This window comes from Homo sapiens, chromosome 2 (assembly GCF_000001405.40).
Source record: "Homo sapiens chromosome 2, GRCh38.p14 Primary Assembly".
In the NCBI taxonomy this organism is placed as follows: Eukaryota; Metazoa; Chordata; class Mammalia; order Primates; family Hominidae; genus Homo; species Homo sapiens.
In genome coordinates, this window is record NC_000002.12 from 239,107,886 (window position 1) to 239,125,449 (window position 17,564).

The window sequence follows — 17,564 nt, forward strand, 5'->3', positions numbered from 1 at the left end:
GCCCGCCCAAATGCAGACAGTGAAGATGCTTGTGGCCCTTCCCCCGGGGCTGTAAGCCCAAAGAACCACCTGCAAAACCAACACCCTGAATCACGCGGGCCCACGAGGGTCCCCTCTAATGGTGCCCAAAGCCGCAGCTGCCCACCTGCCCCGGTCGGCGTTACCTCGCATTTGCCCCGGAGGCCCGTCTCCTGCAGGCGGGACCAGATGCTCTGGATCCTCCCGGCGTGCTCGGGGTGGCTGCTGCTACTCCCGCAGGTGCACTGGTGCTTCAGCATCAGCGTGTCATACACGAGGCCTGGGGCGGGGCAGAGGGGCCAAGATCAGCGCACATCCAGGGGCGAGCCGACCACCCACTGGCAGGCTGCCCCCGGGTGGTGGCGGAACCACCACTTCCCTAGAAGGAGACGGAAGCTGGGACGGTTCTTTAGAAAAATACCACGTTTGCCAAGACTCCTTGACTGGCCAGGCCCAGAGAACGTGGACGAATGCAGAGGCCAGGCGGGTGGGAGGGCCTGCCTGTCACTCATGCTCACAGTAACGCCCCAGGACCCAGGCAGGGACGTGCGCAGCTGCCCTGCTGCAGCAGGCTGAGGAGAAAACAGTGATGAGGAGGTCTGCCCTGGGTGGCTGGACCTTGCAGGGGTGAGCTCTATGTGGGACTTGTGCTGGGGAGGACGGTGCTGACTTCTAGAAGGAGGCGACTCTAGCCCCCTACCCTCAAAGTCTGCCTGGTCCTGGACCAATAGTAACTCCAGTTCTGCTGGACGGAGAACTGTCCAAGGTACTTGAGATTCCAAAGAAACACCAGATTCGAGCTCTGCCTTTAGAAACTTCCAGAGGGACTGGAACACATATGCTAGAAAACACACGCAAAACCCATGTACACAGGTCTACTTAACCTCTGACTGTGAAAAGAGGCCAGCCATGTGCTCACCACAGCACTGAGCTCAGCATGGACGGGCCCCCAGGGTGCGGCAGCCACAGAAGAGGCTCCTGGTGGGGGCCCCAGAACCAACTGGGCCGGCAGCCTGGGGCTCTGCAGCAGGAAAGGCAATGTGCCTGAACCCGTGTTGGATGCCACCCTGTCTCAGTCAGCATACGTGGGACCGCTGTGAAGGGGAGAGTATCTGACCTGTCTGCAGAGGCTAGAGATGCGAGGGAAGGCCAGGTGGCCCTCCGGGGCACAGCTCTGCCCCGGCCCCTTCTCACCAGGCCTTGGCCCCTGGTGACACCTGGCAGGAGGGCTGCCCCGAGGCCCTGCCGGGACATGTCTGTGCTGCACACACCTGGTCTTCCAGGACTTAACAAAGGGAAGGCCAGGCTGGGTGAACAGACGCCTTCCGCAGGCAGGTCACTGGCCAGGGGCACCTGTGCTAATGTGGGTTCATCCAGGCTGATAAGGGCGGGGCGCACGGTGAAGAGCCTGGGCAAGCTGCCCAGACAGACCTGCTCTATTGCTTCAGTGTGCTGGCCCAGGATGCGGCCCTCCCCACTTGTGTTCCTATTACTGGGAACACAGGCAGCATCCCCAGCCAAGGGGAGCTGAGATTCAAGGTGGTCCAGTGTTTGCAGGGTCCAGCTACAGGATACACTTGGTGCATATTAGTTCCCATACTTCCTGGCTCAGCCTCTTGTGAGTCAGGCTAACAGGAGTCAGTCTCCTGCACTTGAGGAATTCTGGAGGTACTTGCACAACAGTGCTGTGGGATGGGACTTCTGGTAAAAAAAAAAAAAAAGCATCAGGGTAGGTGCAGGCTTACAGGAGTCAATGAAACTAGGACTCACAATCAGTACACTGTGTGTGGGCATGGCTGTGCTTGGGAGTTTGTAATGGCAACACAGACACATAGGCAATGACGGACACTGCCCCGTGAAATACGTAAGTGTGTGTGCAGAAACAACCAGTTGCTCACGGATACAAGGAATGGGGACTGCCCCTACAGTGGAATCATCATGATAAGGTCACGTGCGCTAATATTTACTAAGCACACGGCTGGAACTTACGAGGCAGACACCTGCTTTACTGCCTTTACAGACAGAAAAGCTGGAGCGTAGAGAGATGGAGAAGCGGCAAAGCCCACACAGCTGAGGGTGGCAGAGCCAGCCAGGAGACCACGTGGCTAAAGGAACGCACTGCGTCGCTGTGCACGGACACGGGAAGATGGCTGAGAGTGTGAGGTACTAACAGAAAGCATCAGACACAACAGAGTCCCGTCTCTGTGAAACAAATTATGTTTGTGTCTATCTGTCCATCTGGCTATGCACAGAAATAGATCTGGAAGGTTTAAAGCAAATACTAACAACCTGCCACCACTGGGGAGTGGCATTACGGGCAAACGGCATTTCCTGTGGGTTTCTATCATGTTTTTCTTTACAATGAACATGTACTGTTTTATAAATTTGTTTAAAAAGTAATCAAGACAAACTAAGAAAGGACACCAACGAAGCGGGACTCCCTGCAAGTCTCCTGGGACCAGCCAGGGTGGGCCAGCTTAGTGGGAGGATTCTCCTTGGTGGCGGTGACTGGGGTCTCCCTTGTCTGAGCTGCATTCTTTCAAGAACACACTTATTGCAGTCAGCTGCCCAGGACTTGTGGAGTGGGTCATCTGGCTGCTCCTGTGACCTTCCATGGTTTTCTTTCTGAGAAGCAGCATTTTACTTGCTGGATACCTACTCTGGAAATTTGTCTCTGAATATGAATAGCATCCTTCTAAGACCTGAGAGTGAGAACCTCGCAGACTGCAGAACACTAAGCCACGTGATGAGAATCATCTGAAGAATGAAGCCGTGCTGTATTTACAGAACATTTTTCTTAGTGCGTCATTAACAAGAAATATTAGATCATAACAACATGAAGAGCGCTCCTGCCTCTGTGCTTGTCTCAGAGGCAAGCCCTGCCAGAAGCCAGCCCTCCTTCCCTCCTCTCCCCTGCAGGGGTGGCTGGGTGGCGGGGCGGCCCAGGACAGCAGTCTCCTCCCCGGCTCTGGCTAGCTCCAGGCAGACAAGTCCAGGGCCCGGCCCCTCCTGCCTCCTCAGCCGTGGTGGACGCCTTACTTGCCTCCTTCTTGTGAGGGAAAACCAAGGACCCCTGCTGGCAGATCGCCTCCCCGGGGTGAGGATGGTATGAGGGATGGCACAGACAGAGGACGTGTGGCTCCCACAGCGTGTCCCAGGGGTCCCGGGCTCTGCTCTCGTGTAATCACAGCCCCCCGCCAGCCATTCACAGCCCTGTCACTGGAGCCTCAGCGTCAACGCTGTGGACGTGGGCGAAGTGTGAGGGAGTAAGCGGAGAAGCGTGGGCTCATGATTCCTGAGCCGGACCAGAAGCTGTAGGTTCTCATGGCCCCACGGGCATGGGCTGTGGACTGTTCTTGGAGGAGACCATGGGTCTCTGGGACAGGAAAGTGGGCAAGTGAGCCCGTGACAGGTCCCCAGCATGACAGAACTGAAGGTGTGGGGTGTAGGGCGGGGAGAGGGCCTCTGTGACAGACCTGTGTGGTCCCCACCATCCAGCGTGGCCCTCGTGCCTGCCCAGCCCCTCCTCAGCCTCTGCAGAGCTGGGCCGGGAAGAGCCCCCCGCGCTGTGCCCACTGTGGCCCGCGTTGCACCCTCAGGCTGCACAAAGGCCACGTGTTACCTGTCGTGAACCTCGGCTTGGTGGGGGGCTCCTGCACAGACACGGGGAAGGTGGCAGACGCGGGTGAGGACTGCGCCCGGGACAGAGGCCTGTGGCCGCCGAAGGACACGGGGATGCCGGCGGCCTCCATGGACGCCTGGTAGTTCCTCAGCTGGTGGATCCGCTGCTGCTCCAGCAGGAGGGCTTGCTGCGGGGAAGAAACGGCCGTGTTGGCGGTTGCGGATGTCTCCCGCCCCTGGGCTGCAGGGCTAGGGGTTGCCCTCTCTTGCAAGTCTCCCGTCCACGCACAGGCCATACATGGGCCACAAGGATGCCGGGAGGCCAGCTGCGTGGAGAGGCCTTCCCTGTGAGTGCCCTGAAGCCTGAGTGGGCCCAGAGCCAAGAACGAGGCCAGCACAGGCTCTGCCTCCCAGGACGGTCTCTCTAGGGAAGGCAGGCTGTCCACGTGGGATCCTGCCATGGGTTACGTTAACAGGATAACACAGGTTGAGTCAGGGGGTCCCAGGGAGGCCTGGCCCAGTATGGGGTATCAAGGAGGGCTTCTCTGAGGAGGTGCTGAGCCAGGAGCAGCCTGGAGCAGGTGCAGGGGAGTAGGGCCTGGCAGGTGTGGAGAGAAGCTCTTGCTGGGGCGGCAGCCTGGCCCTCGCTGGTTTCACTGGGGGATATGCGAAGGCCATGTAGATGTGGGGACCACAGCGTCCACTCTGCCATACCACACACATACGGTGAGTGGGCACGAAGCCCAACCCCCTTGTTGGGTTTGTGGGTCTTAGTTCTGACCAACAGCATTGAATCTGCATGCCAAACTTGGGCGAGAAAGCACCATCGGCTCTCAGACTTGAAAGTGCCAACTGGGCTTCATCTGCAGCCGCTCCCCTCCCTGGTCTCACATCCCACACACCCTCGTGCAGGCTAAAAGCAGTAACAGCCCATCAGCTTCTGGGCACCCAGGACCTTTGGGGCCTAGAGCAGGCCTGCTGGTGGGGATGTGCCTCTCTGATGAGATGGAGCTGGGCTGGGCTCTGTGTGTGGGGGGGGCACTCAGCCAGGGGCCTGGGACACCCTGAGGGATTCTGGGAACAGGCTGAGGTGCAAACCCCCATACGAGGCAGAGTGGAGTGGAGGGAGCAGGGCAGAGATGAGGTCACAGCTGCCAAGCCTCTCCCCAGACAGCAGCTGAGGGAGAGCACAGCAACCTGCCACCCAGGCCGAGGCACAAAGAAAGCCGGGCGCCTCCTTGCTGGGAGCTCTGCGCCAATCCTGTCTTAGTTTTGATGAACAAATCCTGTGAACATGGAAAACCAGGTACCTACATCCCAGCTCCTGTATGAAGGCAGAGCCCAGCCCTGTGCTGCCAGCACTGGGGGAAACCAGAGCTACCCGGCCAGGCTCCGATCTGTCCTGCCTTTAGGAATCAGGCTGGGCGTGGTGGCTCATGCCTGTAATCCCAGCACTTGGGGAGGCTGAGGCGGGTGGATCACCTGAGGTAAGGAGTTCGAGACCAGCCTGGCCAAAATGGTGAAACCCCATCTCTCCAAAAAAACAAACAAACAAAACAAACAAACAAACAAAAAATTAGCCAGGCGTGATGGTGGGTGCCTGTAATCCCAGCTACTTGGGAGGCTGAGGCAGAATAATTGCTTGAGCCCAGGAGGCGGAGGCTGTAGTGAGCTGAGATGGCACCACTGCACTCTAGCCTGGGCAACAGAGTGAGACTCTGTCTCACACACACACACACAAAAGGAATCAGAGCCAGGAGGGAGCAGAGAAGAAGGAAGCCCTGAGACAGTGGGAGGAGCTGCAGCAGGAGCTGGAGCAGGAGCCAGCACCCACAGGCCCCCAGTCTGCTGCTGACCAAATTCAGCTGGGATTGCCGTGGGCCCCACGCGGTTAAGTGGTTAATAAGCAATCCTCCCCGACGCGGGCTGGAGGTGCCCCGCCTTATGTTTACCTCGGCAAATTGCTCCGTGTACTACGACGTTTCCCTGATAAGGGGTTCTGCCTATTACTCTCCAGAGAGAACAGAAAATAAGTGTTTCTAATAATCATCTCATGCTTGGAATATAACAAGCCTCTTTTTCTCAAAGTAAAGGCTGATCTATGAGAAACTAGCCCTAAAAATTATTAATGTAAATAGTTTCCCATTTCTTATCAGCCTAATAATAGCACACTGAATTTCAGATCTTCATCAACTTACAAGGCCCGACCACAGGAAGAGGCCCCCACCCTGGGCCTGTCGGACAGGACCTGTGGACGAGTGTTCACCATGAAGCACCGTGTGTGTGCCAGAGAGGCCCGGGGCTTTCTCTCTCTGTCTTTGCCAAGCGTTAGTTCTGCTGGGCTTTGTAGTGTTTAGTGCCCGGGGTGCTAATTAAGAAGGCCCAGAAATTAGAGACAGGCCCCCCTCTGAACAAGAAGGAGAAATAGCACCCAATGCCAGCCACTGGGGGAAGCTCGGTGGAGAAGGGCTCCTGACCCAGAAGCCTCTGGAGACCACTGAGCACTGATCCCGTGTGTGGCAGGCTTGGGTCTAGGTGCTCCAGGTACAAGGCCCCACACTGATTCATTCAGTGGCAAGCATTTAAGAACTGTAGCTGAGAATTAAGGGGAACAGTTTACTGCAGGGCGTCCTGCTCCTGGCTTCCAAGGTGCTGCTGGGGGTGGAGATGCAGCGTCTGGCCACACAGCTGGCAGTCAGGAAGCTGGGGAGGTGCTCAACGGCACGGCCGGCATGGAGTCCAGAGAGAAGGGAGGGAACGAGCCAGTGGCTCCTGCAGCCGAGGCAGCAGCTCTGCTGCTGGAGGATAGAATCAAATCCTACAGAGCTGTGGTTCCTCGGACTGGCTTCCTGCCTACAGGGAGGAAGCCACTTTCCTGAGGGCACTCTAGCTGCAGATACGGGGCTCCAGCTGGCTGCCCAAATGCCTTAGGTATTTCTGCTGACTCAGAAGTTTAATGTTTCAATGGAAATTAACCAGTCATTCACTGGCCTTCTTCATCAGTCTCCTGTGAGTTTGGTTACTGGGTGTCAGTGCCCTGAAGCCTTACTGGCTCTGGGTGCCACAATCGCACCCGTCTGTCTGGATCTGCAGGGCTGCTCATTAGCACCTCTGGGTCACAAAAGGTCTTGACTTCTGATCAGGCCCTGCCTGCCTTTTTGATCAATTAATACCTCTAGTTCCTTCACTTCTTTAAAAAGCATGCTGTATCTCACTAACACATGGATTCTGTGTTCATTTACAGCCTACAGACAGGAAGGAAATCCATTCTCTGGGGCCTGCGCATGGCTGGAAAGCAGTTACGTAACCACCCACAGGGGGCAAACATCTCGTATCCCTAGGAACGGCTGGGACAAAATGGAAGCCACATCAACCTCCCTCACTGGCCAGGACAAGACAGGTGAGACACTGGACAGTGACCGCGCAAGGATGCCCTGCAGCCCCCGTGATCACCACAGAAGATGCCACCTGGGGACCGAGGGTGGCTGTGCGTGCCAGCCTTCTGGTGCCCTCCCCGCCTGCGGTCACCTGTCTGAAGAGCAGCTCCTGCTCACTGGGCTGGCGCTGGCCCGGCTCCACCTCCCGTGGGGGCTCTGCCTCTTCCTCATCGCTCTCAATGGGCTCCTGCTTCACCTGCACGCCGGCCTGTGCGTGCGCCTCCTTCTGCCCCGGCAGCCGGTCCAGGTAGGGCTCGTCCAGCAGAGCCTGGTGCTCACGGAGCTCCTCCTCCGTCTCCTCCGGGTGGCTCTCCGGCTGCCGGGCTGGCTCGCTTGGCTTGGGGATGATCTGCAAGGCGGAGGTAACACATGAAGCACAGAGAGCTGGGTCCTCTGAGCTCATCTGACAGGAGAAGGGATGCTGCAAACCCCACCCTCTGGGGCAGACAATCAGGGACTCAGGGCACCTTATCACCCTGCCACAGGCCAGCAGGCACCTTTATCTCCCAACAGGCACTGGGGTGCCTGAGTGCCTAAGAAAATAATGCCCAGTAGGACCCCAGCCCAGGGTCAAGGTGACCTGGCCCAGGGAAGGAGGCTGACTAACATTTGGGGTTTACTAAGCACCTCTTCTGTGTCAGGCACCGAGAAACAGAAAAGAAGCTGCAGGTGTCAACAGAGTCTGCAGAGGAGAGCTTGAGTGTGAAGGGGAGAGGCCAATGCTGACCTCACAGCCACAACTGCTAAGAGAAACAGCCCACCACCCACTCAGCGGAAGACAACCACGTCCACAATGCTCACTGCCCAATCCCACCAACACGCCACGGCCTCCCCTCCTGCAGGATCCCACCGATGTGCCATGACCTCCCTCCTGCCGGATCCTGGGAACACTCCAGGACCTCCCTTCCTGCTGAATCCCAGGGATGCCACGGCCTCCCCTTCTGCAGGATCTCAGGGACACCATGACCTCCTTTCTTGCAGGATTCCATGGGTGCTCCATGACCTGCCCCGCTATGGGGCCCCAAGAACCGCAACATCCTCCCTCCTGTGGGACTCCCTAGATGCCCCCGACCTCTTTTCCTGTTGGATCTCACGGACGCTTCTCGGTCTCCCTCCCCGGCCTCTCAGTGCGGAACAGGCGGCAGGTGCTCCTCTCCTGCTCCCCGCCTGCTCCTCCGTCTTGGTTTGTCCTGGGCCTGCTCCTCGGCTCATTTCCCCATTCTGGATTCCAAGTATCAGCGACTCCCAAAGGTGGTGCTGAGCCCAAACTCGCTCTTTACCTCCAGACCTAATGGCCTGCCAGACGCCTCAGCTTAGCCTAGAGTGCCCATGAGCCCCAGCACAGCAGGTCCAATGCCGAACGCAGGGCAGCTTCTTCCAAGCCTCTCCCTTCTCTAGGACCTGTTCTTGGCTATTGGGACCTCTCTCTGGCCAGCTGTCCAGTCACACCCCAAGCTCCCAATTCTGTCCGCCAAGCACTGCCCATGCATTGCTCACGAGAAACGCCTCTGGACGGTGCTGCTTCTCTCCAGCCTCGACCTCCTGCCTTTCCTGCTTTGCCCCACCTGGCCTCTCCTGCCTGGATGACAGCATGGCTCCTGGGAGGCCCCCACCTCCAGCGTCAACGCTTTGCAATCTTCTTCATGTAGCAGTGAGGGCACGCTTTCAAACGGGCCAGTGGACCTGGTCACTCCCCTGCTGAATGTCCCCCAAGTGCTCTTCTGCCATCCTGCCTCTGCTGAAGAGCCCCTCCATCGTGTGGCCATGTTGCCCCTGCAGCCTCCCTGCCACCCTGCTCCCGACCACGCCGCTGGCTCTGCATCCCTCATGCCACACTCGCCTCCAGCCCGCTGCTTGCCTTCCTTCCTCGGCCTCCAGCCACTCCAAGAGGCTTTGTGAGCCTCCCGTGCATGTCACCTTTTCCAGGGTCAGCTGATCTTCCTGATAGGGCAATGTGCCCTCCTCCAGCACCCCCCGACCCCAGTCCTCTGGCTTTTCTGTGGTTGCCATTCATGTATCCATCTTTCCTGCAGTCTGCAGTTCCCAGGAGGGTAGGGACCACTTCTGACTCATCCACGTGGCACAGGCATTGCTCATCGCACATTCACTAAAAGGATGGGGCAAATGCAAGGGGTGTCCGCGTAGTGGGGCAAAGTGGAACAGGGTGTATGGCTGACCTCAATGCGCTCTGGGAGCTGTGGGAAGCCAGCAGGGCTGCAGCGTGGAAGGCCAGAGAACAGGAACACAGGGTGCCGGAGACGAGGTGGGGCTGTGGGAAGGGCACTCTGGGCTGAAAACAAGCAGGTGCACGTTCTAGAAGCATGCCCTGCTGCAGACAGGCCAGAGGTTGAAAGGGTGAGGCCAGCCCCACGTCTGGCTAAGGCATGGGAGAAAGAACAGGTTTCCATGACACCAAAAAGGAAGCAGCTCTAGGCCCAGGGACAGACTGCATATGGAGAGGCAAGAGAGGGTGGCCAGGACAACTCCTTCGTTTTGGGCAATGGAGCTGCCCCATCACATCTGGGAGCCAGAAAAGGGATGAATGTGAGCAGAGCAAAGGCTGGAGTTGAGAACAAGAGGGGAGAGAGGGATGCGGGAAGTGGCAAAAAAAAAAAAAAAAAAAAAAGCTCAGGAGAGAGGGCGGGGGTCTGGAGTTAGACTAGGAAGGGCGCACAGGGAGTTTCTCAGAAGAAGGCACTGACTGAGCTGCATTCCTCTGCAGACTGTGAAAGAACGTCCCACAATCCCAAAGTCCCAGATCGAGGGGTCTCTCCGGATGCTCGATTCATCTGTCCCCGTGGGGAACGGCCTGAAGGGCAGATTCGAGGGACGGTGGGACAAGCCGAGTTCCTGGCAGAGAGAGGAGCTACAGCGCGTGGAGGATGGATCTCGGCACCGCATCCGACTGTTTCCAGAAGGAAACTGAGGTGTGCAAGGAAGACTGACACCTGAAATCCCCCGAGCCCTTGCATTTCAACACCCTTAGAGCACTGCATGCTGCTCCACACTCACGCGAGGCGGCCTCTCCAGCAGCCTGAACTACGGGGCACGGGTTGGTGGGCACTCAGTGTCCGCTTGCTCCCAGGGGTCAGCCGTATCAGACGACACCGGTCCCCACGCAGCAGGGCTGAGACGCAGACTCACACACACACAACATGGTGAGTTTTCAGCCTCCAGAGCCCTGCTGTGCCTCACTGTGGAACATCAGAGACTTCAGATTGGGCGGGGGGTTTGTTTTATGATTGATCATCCCTTAACTTTCTTTCTAAGAGCAGTTTAAAGTACGGCAGTAAAAGCCGAGTGAAGAAAACGCAGATCCATTGTTTATCTCTAAACCGAAGGCAGCTTTTCTTCAGAAAAGCTTTCAACCTGGCACAGGGAAATGGAGCCAGGTCCAGCCGGGTGCAGGCAGCGTGGGTGTCGGGGCGGGCCGGCCATCGGCAGTGTGGGAACCAGTAGGCGGCGTGGCACGTAAGGAACTCAGCTTCAGAAAGCCAAACTCGCAGGGAGGAGAGTGCAGCGGTGGGTGGCCGCGCGTCGGGAACAGGAACGTGCTGTCCACGGGTGAGCGTGCCGTTGGGAGAGGAATAAGTTCCGGGACCTGATGCACAGTTTGGTGGCCCCGATATTCACGGACCTTACCACAGACACAATGAGAGCCCCGTGAGGCCAAGGGGGCATGGATGAGGTCCCTTGTGGCGATCATTTCACAACGCATACAAGTATCAAATCATCACGCCGTACGCTGTAAATACATGCGACTGTTTCCGGTTAGACTTTCACAAAGCCGGGGAGAAACAAGTTCAACTAAGGAATCTAGCAACATTGTCCCCATTTGCTCTGACAGGTTTCTCAGTGGTTGACCAAAAAAAGCATGTGTTTCAACACTAGTTTCACTTGATGATTTTGAGGTCTGTGATTGCTTCTGGTTTCTCAGTCCCATCTTCTTCCTGCACACTGAGAGCCTGAGAGGCCCTGTGGGGGGCAGGGAGAACAGGGAGCCTGGCGGTACCGCTGTCGCTGTGAGCAGGGGTGCCAGGTGCAGCAGGGGCGCCGGGTGAAGCAGCGCTGTTTCACAGGGGACCTCGAAGATGGCATCCAAGTCTTGGCTTTCAGGACACTCATCAAGAGGGCACCCATACGCTCAGTTCCTGCAGCTCCCCCAGGGCCCGGTGCAGTCTGATGTGTAACGGGATGTGACTGACTGAGTGGTGTATGGGAGGTTTCTTGAGAGCGGGGCCCTTATCACTCGGTGCACCGGAGGGAGAGCAAAGAACAAAGAATCTGAAAGCAGAACAATTCCCTAAGAAGGTGGCACAGAGCGCTGAGGACAATGCCCTGGATGAGGAGCAGGAGGGATTCGGGAGGAGGGAGAGCAGCAGCCAGGACGGGCCTTCAGGAAGCAAGAATGTCCTGGAGGCTGCAGGTGTGGAAGGAAAAGCAACAGGCTAAGGATGAGGAGACAGGGCTCAGACCACAGGCTGAGGACATGGGGACAGGAGCTCAGGGCTAAGGGTGCGGGGACCAGAGCTCAGGGCTGAGGGCGCGGGGACCAGAGCTCAGAGCTGAGGGTGTGGGGACCAGAGCTAAGGGCTGAGGGCGCGGGAACTGGAGCTAAGGGGAACGGAGCTCAGGGCTGAGAACGCAGAGATGGGAGCTCAGAGCTCAGGGCTGAGGGTGCGGGGACCAGACCTAAGGGCTGAGGACACGGAGATGGGAGCTCAGGGCTGAGGAGGTGTTCAGGGCCTCAGAGGGCTCCTCACAATGTGGGCTTTGCTCATCAGTGGATGGGCAGGAGAGGCTGCGGGTCTCTCCGAGGGGTGCATGGTCCTGCCTGTGCCACAGGAAGGTGCTAATGAGTCAGCGCGAGGGCAGGGGAATGCCTGCAGAGAAGCGACTGCACAGAGGCAGCAGGGCCGGGCAGAGGCTGGCACAGAGGCTGGGTCCAGCGGCAGTGGGGACCACCCGTGGACAGGAGAGTGAGCAGGAGGCACCAGGACTCCTGGCCAAGTGCCAGAGAAGGCAGTGGGGACCACCCGTGGACAGGAGAGTGAGCAGGAGGCACCAGGACTCCTGGCCAAGTGCCAGAGAAGGGCCACCACAGAGGAGGTGCTGGCCCCGGGACGGGGAGGTGGGTAGAGGGCAGCTCAGAGAGGCTGAATCCCAGCATCCGGTGGGGCCCTGAGAAATCCAGCAAGAAAGTGCAGATTCGAGTCTGGGATTTGGGAGACAGATCAGAACTGGAGCAGTACGCAGGTGGAATAAAGTCAAAGCTGGGAGCACAGAGGAGCTACGCAGAGCTGGGGAGCTGAAGAAACAGGGATGAGGCCTCAGGGACCAGTGGTAGGGTGTCGGGAAGCAGGGAGGCCACAGAGGCTCACATACAGATACATACACACACAGATACATATACCCGCAGAGGCACACACAGACGCACACAGACACACACACACAGACACAGACAGATGCACAAATAGACAGACATGCAGATACATATACACATGAAGAGACAGATACACAGATACACAAATACACATAGGCACAGGCACACAGAGACAAGGAGAGGAGACCAGAGGGCCAGCAGAAGGGTGGGTACAATGCCAGGAAAGGGCAAGGGGAGAAGGAGGAAGGTGGGGGAGGGAAATGGGGGGGCGGGGAAGGGAAATAGGGGGAGGGGTGGGGGAGGAAGGCTAGGACCTTAGAGGGGACCCTGTGGGGCTGCCCCATCCCAGCAATGACCGAAGTGGTGTGCCTGCCTTTCTTTAGCAGCCCAGGGGCCATTCTGAAGTGGATAAAAGTGATGGAGGGCAGCAACCCCATAGAGGACACAGAGGCAGGTCCCTTCTCTAGGGTGGGGTGGAGGACAAGGCAGCTGAGGGTGGAGGGGAGGGGTTCCTGCAGCAAATGGCCACTCCCAGGAAGCCAGGCTGATCGAGGAAAAGGGTTTGTCTGTTTGCCTTTTAAAGGAGACGGCCCAGGGAGGACTCGGTGGACACAGAAGCTCCAAGACTTTTCTTCTGATGCTTTCCTTTAAATTTCTTTTTTTTTTTTTTTGAGACAGGGTCTTGCTCTGTTGCCCAGGCTGGAGTGCAGTCATGCATTAGGCAGTCCTCCCACCTCAGCCTCCTGAGTAGCTGGGGAGTACAAGCATGCACCACCTTGCCTGGCTAATTTTTGTAGAGACGGGATTTCACCAGGTTGCCCAGGCTGGTCTCGAACTCTTGAGCCAAAACGATCCACCCACCTTGGCCTCCCAGAGTGCTGGGATTACAGGTGTGAGCCACCATGCCCAGCTTTAAATTTCAAACTTAAAGAAAAACTTCAAGAACTCTGTAAGAAAATCTCAAACGTCCTTCCCCTATGCACAGATGAATGGCGGTGGAGGTAGTGGGGGTCATAGCGGGGGTCAGCCTCTCTTCCTGGGGGGCTGTTTCAGGGGCCCCAAGGCCACTGCAACCTGCCTGCCTGAGGCTTTCGGCAGCCGCGTCTACCGTGCTGTGCATCAGGAGACCTCCCCACTGTTCCAAGGGCTCTTGGATGGCCCTTCCCCGGCTGGCTGCGGATGGCGTGTGCTGCCAGGGGCCGCATCTCTTTAGTGTCCTTTAGTGACAACATTCCCAGGTCTTTTTCCTCCCTTTCACGAGGATGAAGCCTCTGAAGTGTCCCCCGCTGCCGCACGCCCCTCGGCCTGGAGGAGGGATCATCTCCACACCGTGGGCCTCCGGCGAGGGCTCTCAGGCAGGGCCTGAGGAGGATGTCACTTTGGCAGTGGTGCCACGTCAGAGCCCTCTGTGACGCAGGCCAGGCCCCTTGCCTTGGCACTGACGCAGGCGCCTGTGGGTCACCTCCCTGGGCCATGGCTGCAAACAAAGCCTGCTTCTCTCTCTCTCTCTCCTTTGACATTCAGTTCTGAGTCTCACTGGCTGGGCTGTGGGCTGGGGCTGCACTGCAGAGCTGGCTTTGGGAGGTGAGCCGGACGCGGGCAAACAATTGAAGCAGCTCTGTGCAGCCCGAAGGCCTTGGGGACACTGAGAGCCCCTTTCATCAATTCAGGAAGAACAAATGCACCTCCATATTTGGAATAATTACATTTTTAAAAAGTCAGGCTGGAGTTCACGGCCAAAACCGAACTGGTAAACTGCCAGTATTTTAAAACAATCGGACACACTCGTAATTAGACCACCCAAAATATGAGTCCAAGTTTTCATATTCAAAACCGAGGATGTCAAGTTAAAGGGAAACACACCCGAGGCCCTCCGCTCTGCAGGAGGCAGGTTCTTGTGCAGAGTCCAGAAACCATGGGAAGAACCACCTTGAGAAGCAAGGCTTCTTGCTGTAGGGGTGGAGGACACCTTCCAACGAACGTCCTCTTTTAATAGAAAGAGGTATTTCGCCTGGACACACATCACCCACTGCTCGCAAACCAGACATAACTGAGGCCAAGTCCGGACGTGGCCAGCGAACACGGAGGGCCAGTTTCACCTGCAGAGTTCCAAGGTCCACTCGCCCTCTGATGGTGTGCGTTCTCCAGAAAGTTCCTTCATGCAGCAAACCCTTATAAACACCACTGCATACAAGGCACGGGCAACAGAAGCTGACACAGTTGGAAAACATCTGCCACCATCCCGACCACAGGCTGGGGAGAGGAGAGCAGAGCCAGCTCGGGGTCGATCCTGTCCACCTGGTGGAGTTTTCTCAGCCAAAAGGGGCAGCTCTGCAGGCTGCAGGCCTCGGGAAAACTAGAGTGGCTACATATGGCTGCAGGGAACACCAGGGCTAGGCACGGGCCGCCTCTCTTTCTTTTTTATTCACAGTGATGTTTCCAAAACAACTGCCCTCTAAGGTACAGGCTGAAGGAGGGGCAGACCAAGCCGGCCCCAGCTGCAACCCCAATGTAGGCTGGAGCAGCGCAGTGGGACAGGAGGGTTCACAGCTGCCAGAGCTGGGCAGATGCCCTCAGGGAACAAGCCCCTGGGGACGTCATCCTCCAAGAGGAAGGGCCGGGACGTCAGTGTTAGGCGGCCCTGGGCAAGATTCTTGTCTTCCTGGGCATCCTGGGAAAACACTGTCTAAACGTTTCAATCAACTGTCATTCACTCCCGTAAATCAATCAGAGAACAAACTCCAGTGAGAGTACCCGGTTTCTAAATCCTTCAAGAGTATACGGCATGTGAATAGGTGTTTCCTGTCTTCCTCAAACCTCCTACCCCATCACTCAGATAATGACATAATAAAATTAACAAACCTAAGTTGGCATTAGGAAGACGGATGTGAAAGTGCTTTTGACACCTGGGAGTAAAGATGCCTGGCAGGCGCCCGACACGCCCACAGCCTGTGCCCTTCCCGTCCCAATGAGGGGATTTGCTGGGTGCCCCATCCATTTCTGATGCGTTCCCTGCTGTCCGCTGATGAGGGCTTGGGGGTGGAGGGGCATGTGGGGTGGGGGTGGTGAGCCTATTTTGTGGTGTCCAGTGGGCAGCAGGGGCCAGGCTGTGGCCTGTGCTGGGCATCTGGTCTGACGTGGCTGCCACCCTGGAGCAAGGCCCCAAGGGGCCCATCTCCTCAATCCTGAGCCTGCAGCCCCATGATGGCTCACACACTAGGATGGATTTGGGCCACAGCCGGCTGCCATCTCCCAGGGGCCTTCCCCGACTCAGCCCCACTGGACCGGACACCACGCAATCAAAGCCTTTGACCACTGCGCCAGGGCTGAGCTGACTCCTCTTCTGGGCTGGAACTGTGGGGCTTGAGAGAAGGAAATTGGGACCAGGCAGGCAGGAGGGGCTAATGGTATCAGGAGGTCAGGGCTGCGGGAAGAGGCAGCAGTGTTGGTGGTGTAGGGGTCTCTCCCCACGGCTTTACCTCTGCTCTTGCTGGGATCCTGGTATTTCACTTTCCAACTCCTGTCTACGTGTGCTAGGAAAGTCTATCTCCTCCCCAGTCCTAACCCCAATTTTTCACCCTCAGGAAAACCACAGAAGACCCTGAGCCTCCGGACAGGTGGACAACCCAGGACCGGTCCTGAAATCCAGGGAAGCAACGGGGGTGGGGTGGAGTGAGGGGGGCACTTTCACAGGAGAGACAATAAACGGAGAAATGATTCCGTCTGTCGCCAAATCTGCCAAAGGTTTCTCCACGTTCCCCTCCCATCAACTCATCCTCTTTCTTCCTTGTAACAGCTTTACTGGGATATAATTCACATACCATCCAATTCACGCTTTTAAATGATATCATTTGTTGTTTTTAGTATATTTACAGAGCTGTGCAGTCATCACCATATCTAATTTTGGAATATTTTCACCATCCCTAAGAAGAGGCGCTGTTCCCCAGAAATGCTCCCCATCTGCCCGCAGCAGCCCAGGCCTGGCTCCCACGAGTCTGTGTCCTGTCTCTGTGAGTCTGTCTGTTGGGGACGTTTTATGTGCATGAAATCATACCACACGCGGCCTCTCGTGCCTGGCATCCTGCTTCCAAGGCTTCCCGTGCTGCCGCTTGTCAGTGTCATTCCACTTTATGGCTGAATGACATTCCGGCGTGTGGCCACGTTATATGACATTCCGGCGTGCCGGCGTGTGGCCGTGCGTCATTCCACGTTATATGACATTCCAGTGTGCCGGCATGTGGCCGCACGTCATTCCACGTTATATGACATTCCGGCGTGCCGGCATGTGGCCGCACATCATTCCACGTTATATGACATTCCGGTGTGCCGGCGTGTGGCCGCGTTATATGACATTCCATGTTATGTGACATTCTGGTGTGCTGGCGTGTGGCTGCGTTATATGACATTCCATGTTATGTGACATTCTGGTGTGCTGGCGTGTGGCCGCGTTATATGACATTCCACGTTATGTGACATTCCGGTGTGCTGGCGTGCGGCCGCGTTATATGACATTCTGGTGTGCTGGCGTGTGGCCGCGTTATATGACATTCCATGTTATGTGACATTCCGGTGTGCTGGCGTGTGGCTGCGTTATATGACATTCCACGTTATGTGACATTCTGGTGTGCTGGCGTGTGGCCGCGTTATATGACATTCCATGTTATGTGACATTCCGGTGTGCCGGCGTGTGGCCGCGCATCACAGGATGGACACCTGGGCTGTTCCCATGTAATGTGGCTATCACGACTGATACGGTTATTACGACTGATACGGTTTGGATCTGTGTCCCTGCCCACATCTCCTGCTGAAGCCTAGCCCCCAATACTGGAGGTGGGACCTGGCAGGAGGTGGCTGGATCATGTGGGTGGATTTGGCATGAACGGCTGAACACCGTCTGTTGGTGCTGTCCTCACTGTAATGAGTGGGTTCTGGTGAGGTCTGGTCGGTTAGAAGTGTGTGGCCCCTCTCCCCACCCCTTGCTCCTGCTCTTGCCAAGTGATGTGCCCGCTCCCCCTTCGCCTACCACAGTTGAATGTTTCCTCGAGGACTCCCCAGAAGCAGAGGCCAACACCACGCTTCCTCTACAGCCTGCAGAACCAGAAGCC

The 17,564-nt window shown here is 57.0% G+C and overlaps 1 protein-coding gene across 46 annotated transcripts in view; it reads right to left on the reverse strand.

The window, feature by feature from the left end:
- The window catches only part of HDAC4 (histone deacetylase 4), a 353,482-nt gene that overhangs the window by 59,718 nt on the left and 276,200 nt on the right, over positions 1 to 17,564 (reverse strand). For all 46 annotated transcript variants that reach the window (XM_047446489.1, XM_047446486.1, XM_047446483.1 and 43 more), the window contains 3 exons: positions 7,168 to 7,425; positions 3,641 to 3,827; positions 165 to 298 (listed from right to left, as the gene is read on the reverse strand). In XM_047446489.1, the coding sequence (XP_047302445.1) occupies positions 165 to 298; positions 3,641 to 3,827; positions 7,168 to 7,425 (579 nt within the window). The remainder of the gene's footprint in view (positions 1 to 164; positions 299 to 3,640; positions 3,828 to 7,167; positions 7,426 to 17,564) is intronic.